This window comes from Homo sapiens, chromosome 7 (assembly GCF_000001405.40).
Source record: "Homo sapiens chromosome 7, GRCh38.p14 Primary Assembly".
Lineage (NCBI taxonomy): Eukaryota > Metazoa > Chordata > Mammalia > Primates > Hominidae > Homo > Homo sapiens.
This window is the reverse complement of record NC_000007.14, coordinates 75,651,241-75,672,541: the sequence shown is the minus strand read 5'-3', so window position 1 is coordinate 75,672,541 and position 21,301 is coordinate 75,651,241. Positions and strand designations below refer to the sequence as shown.

The window sequence follows — 21,301 nt, the reverse complement described above, 5'->3', positions numbered from 1 at the left end:
AGCCTGGGGAACTTGGTGAAACCCCATCTCTACAAAAAAATACAGAAATTAACCAGGTGTGCTGATGCATGCCTGTAGTCCCAGCTGCTTAGGAAGCTGCAGTGGGAGGATCACTTGATCCCAGGCAGTGGAGGTTGCAGGGAGCTGAGATGGTACTGCTGCACTCCAGCCTGGACAACAGAGCAAGACTGTCTTTCAAAAGGAAAAAAAAAAAAAGAATGTAAAAAGACATCTCATAGAATGGGAGAAAATACTTAGAAATCATATTATTGGATAAGGAATTGATACCCAGAATATATACAGAATTCCTAAAACTCAATAACAAAAATAAAATTCAGTTCAAAAATAGGCAAATGAATAGACATTTCTTCAAAGAAGATATACAAATGGTCAATAAGCACATGCAAAGGTGCCTATCACTAATCACTAAGGAAATGCAAATCAAAACTACAGTGAGATAACACCTCACATCTGTTAGGATGGCTACTATAGAAAAACATGAAAATTGGCCAGGCACAGTGGCTCACGCCTGTAATCCCAGCACTTTGGGAGGCTGAGGCGGGTGGATCATCTGAGGTCAGGAGTTCAAGACCAGCCTGACCAACACGGTGAAAATCTATCTCTACTGAAAACTCAAAAATTAGCCAGGCATGGTGACGCGTAGCTGTAATCCCAGCTGCTTGGGAGGCTGAGGCAGGAGAATCACTTGAACCTGGGAGGCGGAGGTTGCAGTGAGCTGAGATCACACCACTACACTCCAGCCTGGTAGAGCGAGACTCCATCTCAAAAATTAAAAAAAAGGAAAACATGAAATAAAAATTGCTAGCCAGGTTGTGGAGAAATTGGAATCCTTGTGCATGATTGGAGGGAATATAAAATGGTACGATGCTGTGAAAAACAGTATGGCAGCTCCTCAAAAAATTAAAAATAGAATCACCATATGATCCAGCAATTCCACTTGTGGGTTTATACCCAAAAGAACTGAAAGCAGAGCCTTGAAGAGATATTTGTACATCCACGTTCATAGCAGCATTATTCACAATAGCCAAAACATGGAAGCAAGCCAAGTGTTCATCACCAGCTGAATGAATAAGCAAAATGTGTTATATGATGGAATGTTATTCAGCCTTAAAAGGGAAGGAAATTCTAGCCGAGTGCGGTGGTTCACATCTGTAATCCCAGCACTTTGGGAGGCCAAGGCAGGCAGATCACTTGAGGTCAGGAGTTTGAGACCAGCCTAGCCAACATGGTGATACCCCGTCTCTACTAAAAATACAAAAATTAGCTAGGCATGGTGGCGGGTGCCTGTAATACCAGCTACTCAGGAGGCTGAGGCAGGAGAATCACTCGAACCCGGGAGGGGGAGGTTGCAGTGAACCGAGATTGCTCCATTGCCCTCCAGCCTGGGCAACAAGAGCGAAACTCCATCTAAAAATAACATAAACAATAAAAAGGAAGGAAATTCTGACACATACTACAACATGGGTGAACCTTGAGGACATTATGCTAAGTGCAATAAGCTAGTCACAACAAAGACAAATACTGTATGATAAATACAGCATGACTCCCGTTATATGAGGTACTTAGTCACAATCGTAGAGATAGAAAGTAGACTGGTGAGACCGGGCGCGGTGGCTCACGCCTGTAATCTCAGCACTTTGGGAGGCAGAGGTAGGAGGATCGCTTAAGCCGAAGAGTTTGAGACCAGCCTGGGATACATAGCAAGACCCTATCTCTACCAAAAAAAAAAAAAAAGTTTTAATTAGCTGAGTACAGTGAGCATGCCTGTAGTCCCAGCTACTTTGGAGGCTGAGGTGGGAAGATTGCTTGAGCCCAGGAGGTCAAAGCCGCAGTGAGCTGTGTTTGTGCCACAGCACTCCATCCAGTCTGACTGACAGAACAAGACCCTGTCTCAAAAAATTAGACTGCTGTTTGCTAGGGGCTGGGGAGAGGGGAGAATGGGGAATTATGTTTAATGGGGACCGTTTCAGTTTTACAAAGATGAACGGCCGTGATGGTTGCACAAATTATGGATATATTTAGTACCACTGAATGGTACACTTAAAAACAGTGATAATGAGCCTCATGAGCACAGTGGCCCACTCCTGTAATCCCAGCACTTTATGAGGCTGAGGCAGGCAGATATAGCATGAGCTCAGGAGTTTGAGACCAGCCGGGGCAACATGGTGAAACCCCATCCCTAGAAAAAATACAAAAAATAAAATTAGCCAGGCATGGTGGTGTGCGCCTGTAGTCCCAGCTACCCGGGAGGCTGAGGTGGAAGGATGGCTTGAGCCCAGGAGTTTGGAGCTGCAGTGAACTGTGATTGTACCACCACAGGCCCCCAGCCTAGGCAACAGAGTGAGACCCTGTCTCAAAAAAAGAAAAATAGTGAAGATAATAAATTTTATGTATATTTTATCACAATAAAAAAATTTTAAGGCCGGGCATGGTGGCTCATGCCTGTAATCCCAGCACTTTGGGAGGCTGAGGCAGGTGGATCACCTGAGGTCAGGAGTTCAAGACTAGCCTGGCCAACATGACGAAACCCCGTCTCTACTAAACATACAAAAATTAGCTGGGCATCATGGTGAGCACCTGTAGTCCTAGCTACCAGGAGGCTGAGGCAGGAGACTCACTTGAACCCAGGAGATGGAGGTTGCAGTGAGCCGAGATCGTGCCATTGCACTCCAGCCTGGGTGACAGAGCAAGACTCTGTCTCGTAAATAAATAAATAAAGGAATGAAGTGCTGATTCATGCTACAACATGCTTAAACATTGAAAACATTATGCTAAGTGAAGAAGCCAGACAGAAATGGCCACTTATTTTATTATAACCCCATTATATGAAATGTTCAGAATAGGTAAATCCATGGAGACAGAAAGTAGATTAGCACTTGCCGGGGGTTGGGGGAAGGATGAATACAGAGTGACTACTAACAGGTATGGTGTTTCTTGTTTTGTTTTGTTTTGTTTTTTTGAGACAGAGTCTCACTCTATCACCCAGGCAGGAGTGCAGTGGCACAAGCTTGGCTGACTGCAACCTCTGCCTCCCGGGTTCAAGTGATTCTTGTGCCTTAGCTTCCAAATAACTGAGATTATAGGCACGCACCACCACACCCAGCTAATTTTTTTGTTGTTTTTTTGTTTTGTTTTGTTTTGTTTTTTTGAGATGGAGTCTCGCTCTGTCGCCCAGGCTAGAGTGCAGTGGCATGATCTTGGCTGACTGCCAGCTCCACCTCCCGGGTTCACACCATTCTCCTGCCTCAGCCTCCCGAGTAGCTGGGACTACAGGCGCCCGCCGCCATGCCAGCCTAATTTTTTGTATTTTTTTTTTTTTAGTATAGACAGGGTTTCACCATGTTAGCCAGGATGGTCTCGATCTCCTGACCTCGTGATCCACCCGCCTCGGCCTCCCAAAGTGCTGGGATTACAGGCGTGAGCCACCACACCCGGCCTGTTTTTTTTGTTTGTTTGTTTGTTTTAAGTAGAAACGAGGTTTCGCCGTGTTGGCCAGGCTGGTCTCCAACTCCTGACTTCAAGTGATCTGCCCGCCTCGGCCTCCCAAAGTGCTGGGATTACAGGCGTGAGCCACCGCGCCCAGCCAGGTTTTCTTTTTGGGGTGATGAAAATGTCCTGGAATTGGTGATGATGATTATATAACCTTGAAAATACATTAAAAATCACTGAACTATACCCTTTTTAAAAATGGTGAATTCTATGGTGTCTGAGTTATATCTCAGTTTTAAAAAAATGTATTATTCTGATTGCATATAGAGATAGGCTACAGGTGTCCAAGAGTGAAAACTGGGAGGATGTTGCAGATGCTGCAGTTGGTCCAGCGGTGAGCTGATGGTGCTATCATTGGCCAGGAGGTTGGCCCAAGGGCATGATGGCTTGAAAAGTTGGGAAGTCCCGGCCAGGGGTGGTGGCTCATGCCTGTAATCCCAGCACTTTGGGAGGCCAAGGTGGGTGGATCACCTGAGATCAGGAGTTCGAGACCAGCCTGGCCAACATGGTGAAACCCTGTCTCTACTAACAATACAAAAATTAGCCCGGTGTGCTGGCGGCCACCTGTAAACCCAGCTACTCGGGAGGCTGAAGCAGGAGAATCACTTGAACCTGGGAGGCAGAGGTTGCAGTGAGCTGAGATGGCACCATTGCACTCCAGCCTGGGCGACAAGAGTGAAACTCTGTCTCAAAAACAAAACAATACAAAACAAAAGTTGGGAAGTCCTGAGTGCAGGAATCCTATAGAGAGGCTGTTCTCAACAGGAGGAGGGACACTCCCCGACCCTCGCCACTGAGGCAAGAGGGAATATGAGTTCAGGGGAAGGCATTTTGGAAAACTGATCTGACTTTTGGTTTGGTGCCAAAAAGGGTTTATGAGCCATTATGGGCACAGGCTTGAAAGCTTCAAATAGCTGCGAGTTAGCAAAGGTCATGGCCTTGGCTTCTAGGAAAATCGTGGAGCCCTGGAACAGGAAATCCAGGGATGGTGTCACCTTGAAGTGTACCTGACAATAATTTTTGAGTTGAAATACAGGGGCTTGAGATATTCATCATAATTACATGGCTCAGTAATACAAACCATCTCCTGATTTGGAATTTGCAGATGTCTGTTTTATAAAATCAAAGTCACTGATTAATCTAGAATTGGCATTGCGTCTTACAATCACAGTAGCATTTTGAATTGGGCATATGCCAATGCATTAATAAATAAGTAAAAGGTAGAATTAATAGCATCAAACTGCCGGGTGCAGTGGCTCATGCCTGTAATCCCAGCACTTTGTGAGGCCGAGGTGGGAGGATTCCTTGAGGCCAGGAGTTTGAGACCAATCTGGGCAACATAGTGAGACCTTGTCTCTACACACTCACAAAATTTTTAATTAGCCAGGCGTGATGGCACACGCGTGTAGCCTCAGCTACTTGGGAGGCTGAGATGGGAGGATCACCTGAGCCCAGGAGCTCAAGACTGCAGTGAGCTATGATTGAACCAGTGCCCTCCAGCCTGGGTGACAGAGGGAGACCCTGCCTCCATTTTCAATAAATGAATAAATAATATTAAACTAACACAGTTTGGTTTATAGAATTTTTTCATTTGAAATATCTGTCTTGGTCTCTACAACAACAGCCTTGTGAAACAAGTTTTGCTATTTTCATGCCTATATTTATATAAGGAAATGGAGGCTTAGTGAGTTAACACTTTTCTAAGAAGCCTGAATCCAGGTCTTCTAAATCTCATGTTCTTTCCATTATCACTCCATGAATCAAGTAAAGTACTTTTTATTTATTCAAATTCTCAGGGTATGTTGCCAGGGTACCTTTTCCCAGAAAGTCTATTTTTATAGAATGTCTTTGATTCTTGCCCATCCCAGTGGCTATTTTAAATAACATTTTTTTCCTGTTAATTATGTTAATGTTAATTTTAGAAAGTCTAGAAAAACAGTTTTAAAAATCACCACTCATAACCACTCTTAACATTTGAGCATATTTCTTTCCAGTGTCTGCCTATACATACACCACCTATAAATATATATACACATATATACATATATATATTTATAACCCTTTTCGTAAAACTGTGCTCATACTATATAAATGGTTTCGTGTCCTGCTTTTTTGCTTAGTATGATTTTGTGAAATGGAGCGTCGCATAACGGTGAAGGTTAATTAGGCCCTGGAGCCAGAACAAAACGCTCTGGTAGGTGTGTGTGCCCTTGTAAATTATTTAACCTTTTAGCACCTTAGTTTCTTTCCTCTGGTCCCAGGTGATCTGCGTTCTTGGGGTCGGGAACTGTTCCGTGTCTGAAACACATCCGTACTTTCTCCCATTGGACAAGCAGCGTCCTTGCCTTCCATCCTTCTCGCATCTCCCTTGCCCTGTGACTTCAGTAACACCCGCTCTATCTAACCTTGGGTCCACCATGCCCAGTTTCCTGAATGCTGCTGTAGAAGACCACGCAGTGGAGAATATCGGTGTCGCTATTGACCCACAGCCTTCTTGTCCTTTGTCTTTCTTTGTAATTTTCTTTTATTGATTGTATCTATTTTTTAAATATATAATGCATGGGCCTGGCACGGTGGCTCACGCCTGTAATCCCAGCACTTTGGGAGGCCGAGGTGGGTGGATCATCTGAGGTCAGTAGTTTGAGACCAGCCTGGCCAACATGGCGAAACCCTGTCTCTACTGAATGTACAAAAATTAGCCGGGCATGGTGATGATGCACCTGTAATCCCAGCTACTTGGGAGGCTGAGGCAGGAGAATCGCTTGAACCCAGGAGGAAGAGGTTGCAATGAGCCGAGATCACGCCACTGCACTCCGGCCTGGGCAACAGAGGGAGACTCCATCTCAAAAAAAAATAAAATTAATTAATTAATTAATTAATAAAGCATGATTAAAAAAAAATCTACCATACAAGAGGGTGACCAGTTCATCCCACATCCCCCAGCCTCTGGTCCTTCTCTGCAGAGGCAGCCACCTCTGTGCAACTGCAAGCATATCGTCTGTGTGGGTCTGCAGTGGTATTTCGCTGAGTAACATAGATCTTGGATATTGTTTCAGTCCATACATACAGGCCTGCCCAGTTGTTTTGTTTTGTTGGTTTTTTTCACATTGCCATATAAAAGGAAGGCTTCCTAAAGCATACCACAAACCTACAAGCTATAATGGAAAAGTTGATAAATTTGACTATGGAAAGGCCAGGAGCAGTGGCTCATGCCTGTAATCCCAGCACTTTGGGAGGCCGAAGCAGGCGGATCACTTGAGTCCAGGAGTTCGAGACCAGCCTGGCCAACATAGCAAAACCCCGTCTCTACTGAAAATACAAAAATTAGCCAGGCATGGTGATGGCATGCCTGCAATCCCAGCTACTGGGGAGGCTGAGGCAGGAGAATCACTTGAATCCAGGAGGTGGAGGTTGCAGTAAGCTGAGATCACACCACTGCACTCCAGCCTGAGCGACAGAGCGAGACTGTCTCAAAAAAAAAAAAATGACTACGGAAAAATGAGAAGCTTTAGTATGAGAAAAGATACCATTAGCAAAGCCACAAGACAGGATGGCCTCCACATCCCACTGGACCTTCAACACTGCTCAGTGGCCCTTTTGTGCCCCACGTGGTTCTCTCCACAGATACTACCTCAAACCTTCCTGCCCCTCCAAGCTACAACTCCATCCCTCCTAATTTCACACAGAAAATCAAATTTATCAGATGGAAATGCCCTCTGCTTCCTGCAGCCAGACCTTTATTTTGTTTTAATTGTTCTTATTTTTTTATAGAGATAGGGTCTTGCTCTGTCACCCAGGCTGGAGTGCAGTGGCTTGATCATAGCTCACTGTAGCCTCCAACTCCTGGCCTCAAACAATCCTCCTCCCTCAACCCCCTGACTAGCTGGGACTATATGTGTGCACCTCCATGCCTTTCTAATTTTTAAATTTTTTTTGTAGAAACAGGGTCTCACTATATTCACTATATTTCCCAGGCTGGTTTCGAACACCTTGGCCTCCCAAAGAGCTAGGATTACAGGTGCGAACCACCAAACCCAGCCAACCAGACATCTCAGTGTATTTGAGCCCAAATTAGTCTCTTCTTTCCCTCTGTTGAAATGGAAAGTATCTGGACTGGGCATGATGGCTCACGCCCGTAATCCCAGCACTTTGGGAGGCCAAGGCAGGCAGATCACTTGAGGCCAGGAGTTCAAGACCAGCCTGGCCAATATGGTGAAATCCCAACCCTACTAAAAATACAAAAATTAGTCGGACGTGGTGGTGCATGCTTGTAATCCCAGCTACTCAGGAAGCTGAGGCATGAGAATTGCTTGAACCTGGGAGGCAGAGGTTGCAGTGAGCCGAGATTGTACTACTGCACTCCAGCCTGGGCAATGGAGCAATGGAGCAAGACTTTGTCTGTCCGTCTGCCTGTCTCTCTCTCTCTCTCTCTCTCCCTATACATATATATATGTATGTATACGTATACATACACATACATATATATGTATGTGTATATATGTATGTATACGTATACATACACATACATATATATGTATGTGTATATATGTGTGTATACGTATACACACACACATATGTATGTGTATATATGTATGTATATGTATACACACACATATGTATGTGTATATATGTATGTATACGTATACATACACATATGTATGTGTATATATGTATGTATACGTATACATACACACATATATATGCATGTGTATGTATACATATACATACATATATACATACATATATGTGTGTATATATGTATGTATACATATATGTGTGTATATAGTATGTGTATGTATACACACACAATATATGTATATATACATATGTATATGTGTGTATATATGTATGTACATATATGTATGTAAATATACACACATACATGTATGTATGTACACACATGTGTGTGCATATATGCATACATGTATGTATGCACATATGTGTGTATATGTGTGTGTATATACACATATATGTGTATATACACATATATGTGTATATATATACACATATATGTGTATATATATACACATATATGTGTATATATATACACATATATGTGTATATATATATACACATATATGTGTATATATATATATACACACATACATAAAATAATGGAAGGTAGCTGTTCCCCTGCTAGAGGCTGACACCTCCCTGTGTTCTGATCCCCTGTAATCTTGCCTTAGCAGGACCGTTGCTCTACTGATTAGCTGAGTCAGAAAACTAGAAGTCAAATTATCACTCACTACTCCACTCCCCTCCCACTCCCTTCCATTCCCGTCTCCTGCTGGGTTTTACCTCCTAAATACTCCCTGGCGGCTCTGTTCTCTCATCTCTTTCCTATTTTCACTGCTCATGGTCAGGACTCATCTAGTACACCCAGAACTGGCAGTACCCTCTTCACTGATCCCAGTCTCCACCCTGGCCATCCTCAGAGCTGTCCCTGCACAGAGGTCAGTGATGCATCAAAAACTCAGATCTGCTCCTGTCCCCTGGCAAACACCCTGAATTGACCATCTGCCTCCTACATCAGTCCGCCTCGCCTGCTGTAGGGGTAGGAGCAGTGCCGCCAGGATGACACACTCTGTCACCCAGGCTGGAGTGCAGTGGTGCAATCATAGCTCACTGCAGCCTTGACTGCCTAGGTTCCAGCGATCCTCCCACCTCAGCCTCCTGAGTAGCTGGGACTATAGGTGTACGCCACCCCTCCTGGTCTGGACATTATATTTGTTTAAATGATCTGTCTTTGAGTTTTCCTTCCCACTTACACTACAGACATCTGGAGAGCAAAGACGCTGTCCGGGATCTTCCTACTGGCCTGGCACACACCTGGTGCACAGCTGATTCAAAACAGAACTTGCCAAACCACCCACTGAATGTTTTCTTGGTCGTTGTACCAGAACAGATGATCATAAAGACAGTTTATGAAACGTAATTAGGATAAGTGTAAATTCTTGTAGTTACATCTGAAACTCACAGGCATGCAAATATCAGATGGGCAACTGTGGCTTGCAGCAGTTCATGTAGAAAAAAGGTGGGGATTTTCATTGAGGAAGCCTCAGCATGGGTCGCCGGTGTGGTGACGCTGCAGGAAGCAGCTCGGATCTTAGCCACCTGTGCTGGTGTCCTCTGAGAACTTGCTCTGTCCCTGTCCCCATTCTCTTTCATATCTTCAATAATTATTCCTCCTCTCAGCTTAAAAACAGGCCCTCGTGTCCTCTAACCTTTAAAAACCTCTTTCCAGGCCAGGCACCGTGGCTCACTCCAGGAGGCTGAGGAGGATGGATCATTTGAGGTCAGGAGTTCGAGACAAGACTGACCAACATGGTGAAATCCCGTCTCTACTAAAAATACAGAAATTAGCCAGGCATGGTAGTGTGTGCCTGTAATCCCAGCTTCTAGGGAAGTTGAGGCAGGAGAGTCACTTGAACCTGGGAGAGGGAGGTTGCAGTGAGCTGAGATCACGCAACTGCACTCCAGCCTGGGCGACAGAGCGAGACGCTGTCTCAAAAATAAATTAGTTAATAAAATAAAATAAATAAAAGCCTCTTTCCAGCCAGGCATGGTGGCTCACACTTGTAGTCTGAGCACTGGGGGAGTCCCAGGTAGGAGGATTGCTTGAGACCAGGAGTTTGAGACCAGCTAGGACAACATAGCAAGACCTCATCTTTACCAAATAAAATAGCTGGGCGTGGTGGTGCAGGTCTGTACTCCCAGCTACTCGGGAGGCTGGGGTGGGAGGGTTACTGGAGCCCAGGAGTTCCAGGCTGCCATGTGCTGTGATCGCACCACTGTGGTCCATCCTGGGTGACAGAACAAGAACCTGTCTCAAACAAACAAACAAACAAACAAAAATAGTGGAGACCCTCCAGTGTGAGCCTCCTCATCATCTCTGATTTCATCCCCCATGACATCGCCAGCTACGCCCCCTCCTTCCCCTCCTCCCTCCCCTCCACCTTCACCCCTTGTGGCTCACTCACGCACCCACTCTCCAGTCCACCCCTCCTCAGAGACCCTGTCCACTCATCCATCTCTCTCCCATTGCGCTTCCTCTTCACTCCGTTCCTTCTGCCTCCCACCATATGCAAATCTTCTCCATCCTTAAAAGCCTGATTGCCTCCTCTGGATTTTTCCACACTCTTGGGGAACTTCCTGTGACTCCCTGCCCTTCACCACCAGCCTTTCCCAAAGAGAAATCCCTCTCACCACCTCCCACTGCCCATCCTCCCCCAGTGGCTCCAAGGCACACATTTGGACTTAGGCCTGCGTTACTCTGCTGTAGCTGCCCCCAAGATGACATCAGGACCTAACAGCACTTGTAGCACCTTTTGCTCCCCATTCCCTGCTTCGCATCCTTGGGGATCTCGGCAGGACTGGACCCACTCCCCCTTCTTTCAGGGCCCCTCACTGCCCTTATCTTCTACTTGTTGTCCCTCCCTTTTTTTTTTTTTTTTTTTTTGAGATGGAGTCTCGCTCTGTTGCCCAGGCTGGAGTGCAGCGGCATGATCTCGGCTCACTGCAACCTCCGCCTCCTGGGTTCAAGTGATTCTCCTGCCTCAGCCTCCTCAGTAGCTGGGATTACAGGTGTGCGCCACCACGCCCGGCTAATTTTTGTATTTTTAGTAGAGACGGGGTTTCACCATGTTGGCCAGGCTGGTCTCAAGCTCCTGACCTCAGGTGATCCGACTGCCTTGGCTTCCCGAAGTACTGGGATTACAGACCTGAGCCATTGTACCTGGCCTTTTTTTTTTTTTTTAACAGGGTCTCATTTTGTCACCTAGGCTGGAGTGCAGTGATGCAAAGATGGCTCACTGCAGCCTTGACCTCCCAGGCTCAAGTGATCCTCCCTTCTCAACCTCCTGAGTAGCTGGGACTATAGGAGGGCATCCCCACACCACCTAATTTTTGCATTTTTGGTAGAGACGGGATTTTGCCATGTTGCCCGGGCTAGTCTTGAACTCCTGGGCTCAAGTGATCCTCCCGCCTCGGCCTTCCAAAGTGTTAGCATTACAGGCGTGAGCCACCACGCCGGCTACTTGGTGTCTCTTGATTTTTTTTGCTGCCTGCAGTGACTGCTCTTCCCACCCTAAATGCAGGCCTTCCCCGATGCTATGTCTTTGGTCCTCTTCCCTCTTTATGCTTTCCCCATTATCTATAATAATAAACAAAGAGATGGAGAGAGGGTGCTGAGGGCTTTGAGGATGAAGGGGGTTCTTTGTTGCTTTGGCGGTATTGTTGGTTTTTTGTCATTGTTTGCTTTTTTCTTTTTTTGTAATGGCAAGAGGGATTCCTCAGGGCACGATGGAAAGAGCTGGAAGGAGGCCAACAAACCACGTGCCTTTACTATTTTCATATGCCCCAAACATTATTCGTCTTGATAGTATTTTGCTGATCCTGTCTACCGGTTGCATTCCCTCCCTGCTCTTAACCTCTGTAGCATTCTGGTAATGCTTCTCTTACCAATCAAGTAATCATGCTGCCTTTTTTGTGTGTGTTTTCGTTTTTGAGACAGAGTCTCAATCTGTTGCCCAGGCTGGAGTGCAGTGGTGCAATCTCGGTTCACTGCAACCTCTGCCTCGTGGGTTCAAGCAATTCTCCTGCCTCAGCCTCCCAAGTAGCTGGGACCACTGGTGCACACCACCATGCCCAGCTAATTTTTGTATTGTTAGTAGAAACGGGCTTTTGCCATGTTGGCCAGGCTGGTCTCAAACTCCTGACCTCAAGTGATCCACCCACCTCAGCCTCCCAAAGTGCTGGGATTACAGGCATGAACCACTGCTCCAGGCCCATGCTGCCATTTTTTTTTTTTTTTTTTACCACGTATCGTATCTTAAATACTTCGGCAGTAGACTTAGGCTGTCTTGACACCAGAACCTGAGTTTTTTTGTGTGTTTTGTTTTGTTTTTTGAGACGGAGTCTTGCTCTGTTGCCAGGCTGGAGTACAATGGCACTATCTCGGCTCAGTGCAACCTCCGCTTCTCCGGTTCACGCGATTCTTCCGCCTCAGCCTCCCGAGTAGCTGGGACTACAGGTGCGCACCACCATGCCCAGCTAATTTTTGTATTTTTAGTAGAGACCGGGTTTCACCATGTTGGCCAGGATGGTCTCGATCTCTTGACCTCGTGATCCACCCACCTCGGCCTCTCAAAGTGCTGGGATTACAGGTGTGAGCCACCACCCCCAGGCCAGAACCTGAGTTATTTTACATCCCTTGGAGCACTTAAAAGTGCTCGCATATGGTGGGTACCCAATAAAATGCTTTCTTAGCAGCATCTGCTAAGAGGAAGACCGTGAGTTTTTGAGGCAAGTAACCCCAGGTCTGATCCTGTTTCTAGTCTTGTTCTTGCCTACCTTTCTTTTTTTCTGTCTTTTTTTTTCTCTTTGAAATGGAGTCTCGCTCTGTCACCCAGGCTGGAGTCCAGTGGCGCAATCTTGGCTCTCTGCAACCTCTGCCTCCCAGGCTCAAGCGATTCTCCTGCCTCAGCCTCCCGAGTAGCTGGGATTACAGGCGTGCGCCACCATACCTGGCTAATTTTTGTATTTTTTGTAGAGACGGGGTTTTGCCAGGTTGGCCAGGCTGATCTCGATCAAGTGATCTACACACCTTGGCCTCCCGAAGTGCTGGGATTACAGGTGTAAGCCACCATGGCCGGCCCTGCTTATGTTTCTAATAACAGTAGTTGCCACAAAGCATTGTGAATATTAAAGATAAGGATGCATGTCTGGCAATGGGCATTCCCTCCCCTTACTGAGCTGGGAAGGAGCTAGAAGAAGGGGAGTCTTATAGGCACCAGCGTGGGGGATGCTAGGACACCTAGTGAGCCCAAGGCCAAACATTTTTGCAGGCTTCAGGATTTGGGGGAAAGCCATTTGCAAGATTGCTCTGGTTTGCCATAAAGCTTTCAACCCTGGGACTGGCCAGAAGTAGGACGAGACAAAATGACCCAAAGCAGTGTGTGAGGACACGTCAATGTCACTTGATGTGTTTCCACCTGGTGAATGACTGGCGAGTCATTGGAATTTCACTGTACTTGGTAGGCCCTGGCCCTTTTCACATTCACATAGTCCTGCCTTAGTTTGCTTTCTTCCTGTTTTTTCTTTGTTTGTTTGTTTTTGTGTGTATGTGTGTGGTTTTTTTGAGATGGCGTCTCACTCTGTCACCCACACTGGAATGCAGTGGCACAATCATAGCTCACTGCAGCCTCCCCAGGCTCAGATGATCCTCCCACCTCAGCCTCCTGAATAGCTAGGATTACAGGTGATTTTTTTTTTAATCTTTTCTAGAGACAGGGTTTTGCCGCGTTGCCAGGCTGGTCTGGAACTCCTAGGCTCAAGTGATCCTGCTACCTCGGCCTCCCAAAGTGTTGGGATTACAGGCATGAGCCACGGCGCCTGGCCTCCTGCTGTTTTAACAGCCTTTTTCCTGCCTCTTTTTCTCCCTTGGCCGCCACTGCACACATGCCAATACCCAAACCCAGCGACCTCTGTGCCTCCTTTCCTGCCCGCAAAATTCAGCTGCTGGGAGGACATTCCAATCCTTTTCTCAATTCTGGCAGCTCTTCAGATGACCTCCACAAACTAGTCCTGAAGCTGGGCAGATTTGTTCTCCACCCTCCAGAATTCCTTCAAAAAATGAAGAAGAGGCCGGATACAGTGGCTCACGCCTGTAATCCCAACACTTTGGGAGGCCAAGGTTGGGGGGTATCACCTGAGGTCAGGAATTTGAGACCAGCCTGGCCAACATGGTGAAACCCCATCTCTACTAAAAATACAAAAACTAGCTGGGTGTGATGGCAGATGCGTGTAATCCCAGCTACTGGGGAGGCAGGAGAATCGCTTGAAGTCGGGAGGTGAAGGCTGCAGTGAGACGAGATCACAACACTGCACTCCAGCCTGGGCGACAGAGCAAGATTCTGTCTAAAAAAAATATGAGGAAGAGATTGGTAAGCCAGCAAGTAAATCCTTTTGGAGTGTCCCAGGGTGTAGAGTTTGTTTTTGAAATTTTTGAAATTTTTCTCTGTTGGTATTTTTAGATCAACCACATTCTTTTTAACTACTGCATAGTATTTCTTAGTACAAAAGCATCCTAATTTTATTTTTCTTCATTTAAATGTGTATGTGCGTGTGTGTGTGTGTATTTAAATTCTAGATTCAGGGGGTACATGTGCAGGTTTGTCGCATGGATATATTGTGTGATGCTAAGGTTTGGGCTTCAAATGATCCCATCGCCCATATAATACCCAATATTAATAGGTAGTTTTTCAGCCTTTCTCCCCCTCCTTCCCTCCTGCCTTTTGGAGTCCCCAGGGTCTATTCTTCCCAGCATTATGTCTGTGCACTGAGTGTTTAGCACCCGCTTATGAGTGAGAATGTGCAATATTTGGTTTTCTGTTTCTTTTCTGTTTAATGCACTTAGGAAAATAACCTCCAGCTGCATCCATGTGGCTGCAAAGGACATGATATTGTTCTTTTTTTTAAATTTAATTGCTTTTTTTTTTTTTTTTTGAGACAAAGTCTCTTGTCCCTCAGGCTGGAGTGCAATGGCGGGATCTCGGCTCACTGCAATCTCCACCTCCCGGGTTCAAGCGATTCTCCTGCCTCAGCCTCCCGAGTAGCTGGGATTACAGGTGCCTGCCACCATGCCTGGCTAATTTTTGTATTTTTAGTAGAGACAGGGTTTCACATGTTGGCCAGGCTGGTCTCGAACTCCTGACCTCAGGTGATCTGCCCGCCTCGGCCTCCCAAAGTGCTGGGATTACAGGCGTGAGCCACCATGCCCAGCTGATATTGTTCTTTTTATGGCTACGTAGTATTCTATGGTGTATATGTACTGCATTTTCTTTCTCCAGTCTACCATGGATGGGCACCTGGGTTAATTCCATGTCTTTGCCATTGTAAATGGTGCTGCAATAAACATACATGTGCATATGTCTTTTCGGTAGAACGATTTATTTTCCTTTGGGTAGATACCCAGTAATGGGATTGCCGGGTCAACTTTCTACTATTGCTGGAACATTCAAGTTGTTTTTGCCTTTCCCTTGGGAATAGTGCTTCAGGGAATGTCCTTGAACGTGGCTCATTGTGAACTTGTGGGAACATTCCTCTAGGATAGATTCCCAGGGGGTCAGACTATGTGTATATTTGAAATTTATTAGACCCTGCCAGATTGTCCTGTTCAGAGACTTGTACCACTGCAGGACAAATATTTTTCTTTACGGTTTAGTCATTCTATATCTTGCTTAACAAAGTCTTCTCAGCCAGGCGCAGTGGCTCACGCCTGTAATCCCAGCACTTTGGGAGGCTGAGGCAGGCGGATCACCTGAGGTCGGGAGTTCGAGACCAGCCTGACCAACATGGAGAAACCCCGTCTCTACCAAAAATATAAAATTAGCCAGGTGTGGTGGCACACGCCTGTAGTCCCAGCTACTCCAGAGGCTGAGGCAGGAGAATCGCTTGAACCCAGGAGGCAGAGGTTGCGGTGAGCCGAGATCATGCCATTGCACTCCAGCCTGGGCAACAAGAATGAAACTCCATCTCAAAAATCAAAAAGATCTTCTCAATACTAAAGTTGGAAACATATTTTCTTTTTTTTTTTTTTCTAAGTTTATAGTTTTGCTTTGTGCCTTTGGCTCCTTACGCAAGCTAGGATGTTTCTCCCCCAGAGTGAGAACTTCTTCTCACTGTTTGGTACCATCTGAATAGCCTGCCCTTTCCCTACTAATTTGAAATGCCACCTTTATTATAAACTAAATTCTGATAAATATATAGATTTGGTCTATTTCACTAACCCATGGTCTATGCCTACCATGTGTTTTGGTGTGTGTGTGTTTGTGCTTTTAAAAAAAAATGGGGTAAAATACATATAACATAAAGTTTGCCATTGTCACCATTTTATTTTTATTTTTTTTCTTTTTGAGACGGGGTCTTGCCTGTCACCCAGGCTGGAGTGCAGTGGCGCGACCATGGCTCACTGCAGCCTTGACTTCCCAGGCTCAAGCGATCCTCCTGCCTCAGCTTCCCGAGTAGTTGGGACCACAGGCACGCACCACCACACCTGGCTAATTTTTGTATTTTTGGTAGAGACATGGGTGGTTTCACCAAGTTGGCCAGGCTCAAACTCCTGACCTCAAGTGATCCACTCACCTTGTCCTCCCAGAGTGCTGGGATTACAGGTGTGAGCCACTGCACCCAACCTGTAACCATTTTTTAAGTATACAATTCAGTGGCATTAATTACATCTATAATGCTGTACAACAATCACTGCTATTTCCATAATATTTCATCACCCCGAACAGAAACTCTTACTCACTAATAATCTACTTTGTGTTGACATGACTTTGCTTATTCTAGATCCTCATATAAGTGGACTCATACAATATTTATCCCTTTGTGTCTGGCTTATTTCTTTGCTTTGCTTGTCTTTTTCTTTTCTTTTCTTTTCTTTTTTTTTTGAGACAGAGCTCACTCTGTCACCCAGGCTGGAGTGCAGTGGTGCGATCTCGGCTCACTACAACCTCCGCTTCCTGGATTTCAGCGACTCTCCTGCCTCAGCCTCCCAAGTAGTTGGGATTACAGGTGTGCGCCACAACACCTGGCTAATTTTTTTTGTATTTTTATTAGAGACAGGATTTTACCATGTTGGCCAGGCTGGACTCGAACTCCTGACCTCAAGTGATCCACCCACCTGGGGCTCCCAAAGTGCTGGGATTACAGGCGTGAGCCACCGTGCCCGGCCTGTGTCTGGCTTATTTCACTTAGCAGAATGTTTTCAAAATTCAGCCGCAGTGCATTATGTATCAGAACCTCATTCCTTTCTATGGCTGAATAATATTTCATGGTGTGGATAGACCACATTTTGTCAATGCATTCGTCTGTTGATGGACACCTGGGCTGTCCCCACCTTTTGGCTGTTGTGAATAATGCTGCTGTGAACATGGGTGTGCAAGTATTTGTTTAAGTCCCTGCTTTCAGTTCTTTTGGGCAGATGCCCAGGAGTGGCATTGCTGGGTCATGTGGTAATTCGGTTTAACTTTTGTCATCATTGTTGTAGAGATGGGGCCTTGGTATGTTATCCAGGCTGTCTTGAACTCCTGGCCTCAAGAGATCCTCCTGCCTAAGCCTCCAGAGTAGCTGGGACCACAAGCATGTGCCACCATGCCCGGCTAATTTCTTTATTTTTTGTAGAGATGGGCTCTTGCTATGTTGCCCAGGCTAGAACTCCTGGGTTCAAACAATCCTCCCACCTCGGCCTCCGAAAGCGCTGGGATTACAGGCGTGAGCCACTGTGGCCAGCCCCTGTTTAATTTTTGAAGCGCCCTCAAACTGTTTTCCACAGCAGCTGCAGAGGAGATACTCGGAGGAGGAGGAAAGAGAAGTCACGGAGCCCTGTTCTTAACCGAGTTTTGCAGTCACCTCCCCGTATTCCTCTCTCACTCTGAAGCCGAGCACAGAACCCAGCCTCTGGTGGTACCGAGTGAAGGTTGGCCTGGTTGGTTGGATGGATGGCCAAATGAACTCCAGACCACTGGATTGTATAACAGGACAGCAAGAGGCAGCACAGAGCCGTGGAAAGAACCTGTAGCCATAACATTTGATGAATGAATCAGACATGTGACATTAGTTCTGTTTCTTCTTTTTTTTTGAGATGGACACTCTGTCACTCAGTCTGGAGTGCAGTGGCGCGAACTCAGCTCACTGCAACCTCCGCCTCCCGGGTTCAAGTGATTCTCCTGCCTCAGCCTCCTGAGTGGCTGGGACTACAGGCGTGCGCCACCATGCCCAGCTAATTTTTGTATTTTTAGTAGAGATGGGGTTTCATCATGTTGACCAGGCTGGTCTTAAACTCCTGACCTCAGGTGATCCGCCCGCCTTGGCCTCCCACAGTGCTGGGATTACAGGTGTGAGCCCCTGCGCCCGGCCATGTTCTGTTTCTTAGAGGAAACCTTGGCTTCCCTGTGTGTCATTAGTGCTCTGTAAGTGCCCCTGCTGCAGAGCGTACTGAGGCATGTGACCTGGCTGTAAGTGCCTTTGCTAAAGCCAGAGGTGCCCACTAGTTTTCGAGACTGCAGAGACCTTGTGTGCCCAGCACTCAAAATAGGGCCTGGCATGGTGAAGTCATTTCTTGCATGCATTCACTCACACATTCAGCAAGTACTAACTGAGTGTCTGCTCCATGCCAGGCACAGCTCGGGAGGCAGGGATTCAGCCACGAACAAGAAAGACAAAGGCCTTGGCCCCAGCGATCACTCAGTGGTCCAAGAACAGGTCCCTCAGCCTCCCAAGTAGCTGGGATTACAGGCACCCACCGCAACGCCTGGCTAATTTTTGTATTTTTTAGTAGAGATAGTGTTTTACCATGTTGGCCAGGCTAGTCTCAAACTCCTGAGCTCAGGTGATCCACCTGCCTCAGCCTCCCGAAGTGCTGGGATTACAAGCATAAGGCCTCAACCTCCTGTGCTCAAATGATCCTCCTGCCTCAGCCTCCTGATTAGCTGGTACTACAGGCATGCACTACCACAGCCCGCTAATTTTTCTATTTTTTGTAGAGATGGGGGTCTCACTATGTTGCCCAGGCTGGTCTCGAACTCCTGGCCTTAAGCAATCCTCCCGCCTCAGCCTCCCAAAGTGCTGGGATTACAGGTATAAGCCACCATGCCTAGTCTATACCTATTTTATTAATAGACACACTGAGGTCCACAGAGAGTAAGATGCCTCAGATTACAGAACTAGTGTGTGCCTAAGGCTTGACGTGTGTGATATCTGACAGTCGTGGACACATCTCATCAAGTGCTTCATTGCCAATGAGATTCCCAGAGCAGACCCCCAGCCTGGGGAGGAATAGGAATTCCTCTGCTTAATGAGATCAAATTTGTTTTTTTTTTTCTCCCAGACCTTTATTACCCAAATCACATATCCTAATGAATGCAGCCAACATATATGTTATTTACCAGAGTTTTCAGAGACACCCTCACTGACACACCCACATATATTGTTTAGCCAAATATCTGGGCACCCTGTGGCCCAATCATGTTGACACATGGAATTAACTGTCACACTCAGCTGACCTCAGGAGCACCTCCTGTGAGCTTTGCTGGGAGCTTCTGTTTGCATTAACCCTTTATGACCCTCAAGAGTGGGTATTGCCCTGTTCACAGGGGGAGAAGTAAGTTTTAGCTTTCTCATCTAAAAAGATATAAAGCCTCTTCCACACTCATCACTGGTAGGAGTTCGATTGTGAATATGACTTTCTATTTTACCTCTTCACCACTTCAGACTTTCTGTGGCTCTGATCTTCACATTCTATCCATACTCTAATATAGCATTATAAACGAGTTTTTTTTTTTCACTAACAGTAATAATTAACATGTGGCTGGGCATGGTGGCTCATGCCTGTAGTCCCAGCACTTCGGGAGGCCAAGGCAGGAGGATTGCTTGAGCCCAGGAGTTCAAGACCAGCCCAGGCAACAAAAACGAGACACCATTTCTACAAAAAATTTAAAAATTAGCTAGGAGCAGTGGCACGCACCTGTAGTCCTAGCTACTCAGGAGGCTGAGGTGAGAGGATTGTTTGAGCCCAGGAGTTGGAGGCTGCAGTGAGTTATAATCGCACCACTGCACTCCAGATGACAGAGCAACACCCCATCTCTTAAAAAATGAAAATGTAAACTTAAAACAATGAAAAAATTAACATACATATAGTGGTTTTTTTTTTTTTTTTGAGACAGTCTCGCTCTGTCACCCAGGCTGGAGTGCAGTGGTGCAATCTCAGCTCACTGCAACCTCCACCAACTGGGTTCAAGTGATTCTCCTGCCTCAGCCTCCCGAGTAGCTGGGATTACAGGTACACGCCACCATGCCCAGCTAATTTTTGTTATTTTTCATAGAGATGGGGTTTCACCATGTTGGCCAGGCTGGTCTCAAACTCCTGACCTCAGGTGATCCACCTGCCTTGGCCTCCCAAATTGCTAGGATTCCAGGTGTGAGCCACCATACCAGGCTCATATAGTGCTTTTTTTTTTTCTTTGAGACAGAGTCTCGCTCTGTCGCCCAGGCTGCAGTGCAGTGGCGCAATCTCAGCTCACTGCAACCTCCGCCTCACGGGTTCAAGCGATTCTCCTGCCTCAGCCTCCCGAGTAGCTGGGACTACAGGTGCCCACCACCATGCCCAGTGCTTTAATAAAAACAATCACTAACCTTTATATAACAGTAGGTATGCAGGCAATTTTCTAAATACTTTCCATAATATTAACTTAGCGTCAAAACAACCCCAAGAGGTAGCTATGATTAGCCTTGTTTTATAGACAGAGAAACTGAGGCACAGAGAAGTTGAGTGACTTGCCCAAGGCCACACGTAGAATAAGTGTTGCAGCCAGGGTTGCCGCCCAGGGCCTCCTCTGAATTTGACAGTGACCCACCCAAGGCTACACAGATAGGAAGGCAGGACTTGAACTTGGGGTTCTGATGTAAGAACCACTCTGCATTCAGCATCCCTACTTTGGCTTTAGAATCTTGGGATGTTTTTACAGTGTGGAGAATCCTTCTTTTTTTTTTTTTTTTTTTTTTTTTTTTTTTGAGATATGGAGTCTCACTCTGTAACCCAGGCTGGAATGCAGTGGCACAATCTTGGCTCACTGCAACCTCCACCTCCCGGGTTCAAGCGATTCTTCTGCCTCAGCCTCCCGAGTAGCTGGGACTATAGGTGCCCACTACCATGCCTGGCTAATTTTTGTATTTTTAGTAGAGACGGTGGTTTCACCATATTGACCAGGCTGGTCTCGAACTCCTGACCTCG

At 46.3% G+C, this 21,301-nt stretch overlaps 1 protein-coding gene across 3 annotated transcripts in view, besides 1 other annotated feature; it reads left to right on the top strand.

Annotated features, from left to right (window-relative positions):
- The window catches only part of HIP1 (huntingtin interacting protein 1), a 205,644-nt gene that overhangs the window by 66,400 nt on the left and 117,943 nt on the right, over positions 1-21,301 (top strand). The window lies entirely within an intron of this gene.
- Positions 19,417-19,711: a silencer, noted in NCBI's record as "tiled region #13243; HepG2 Repressive non-DNase unmatched - State 10:DNaseD". NCBI's record gives its function as "represses a minimal TATA promoter and a strong SV40 promoter by Sharpr-MPRA in HepG2 cells {active_cell/tissue: HepG2}" and the evidence as "EXISTENCE:reporter gene assay evidence [ECO:0000049][PMID:27701403]".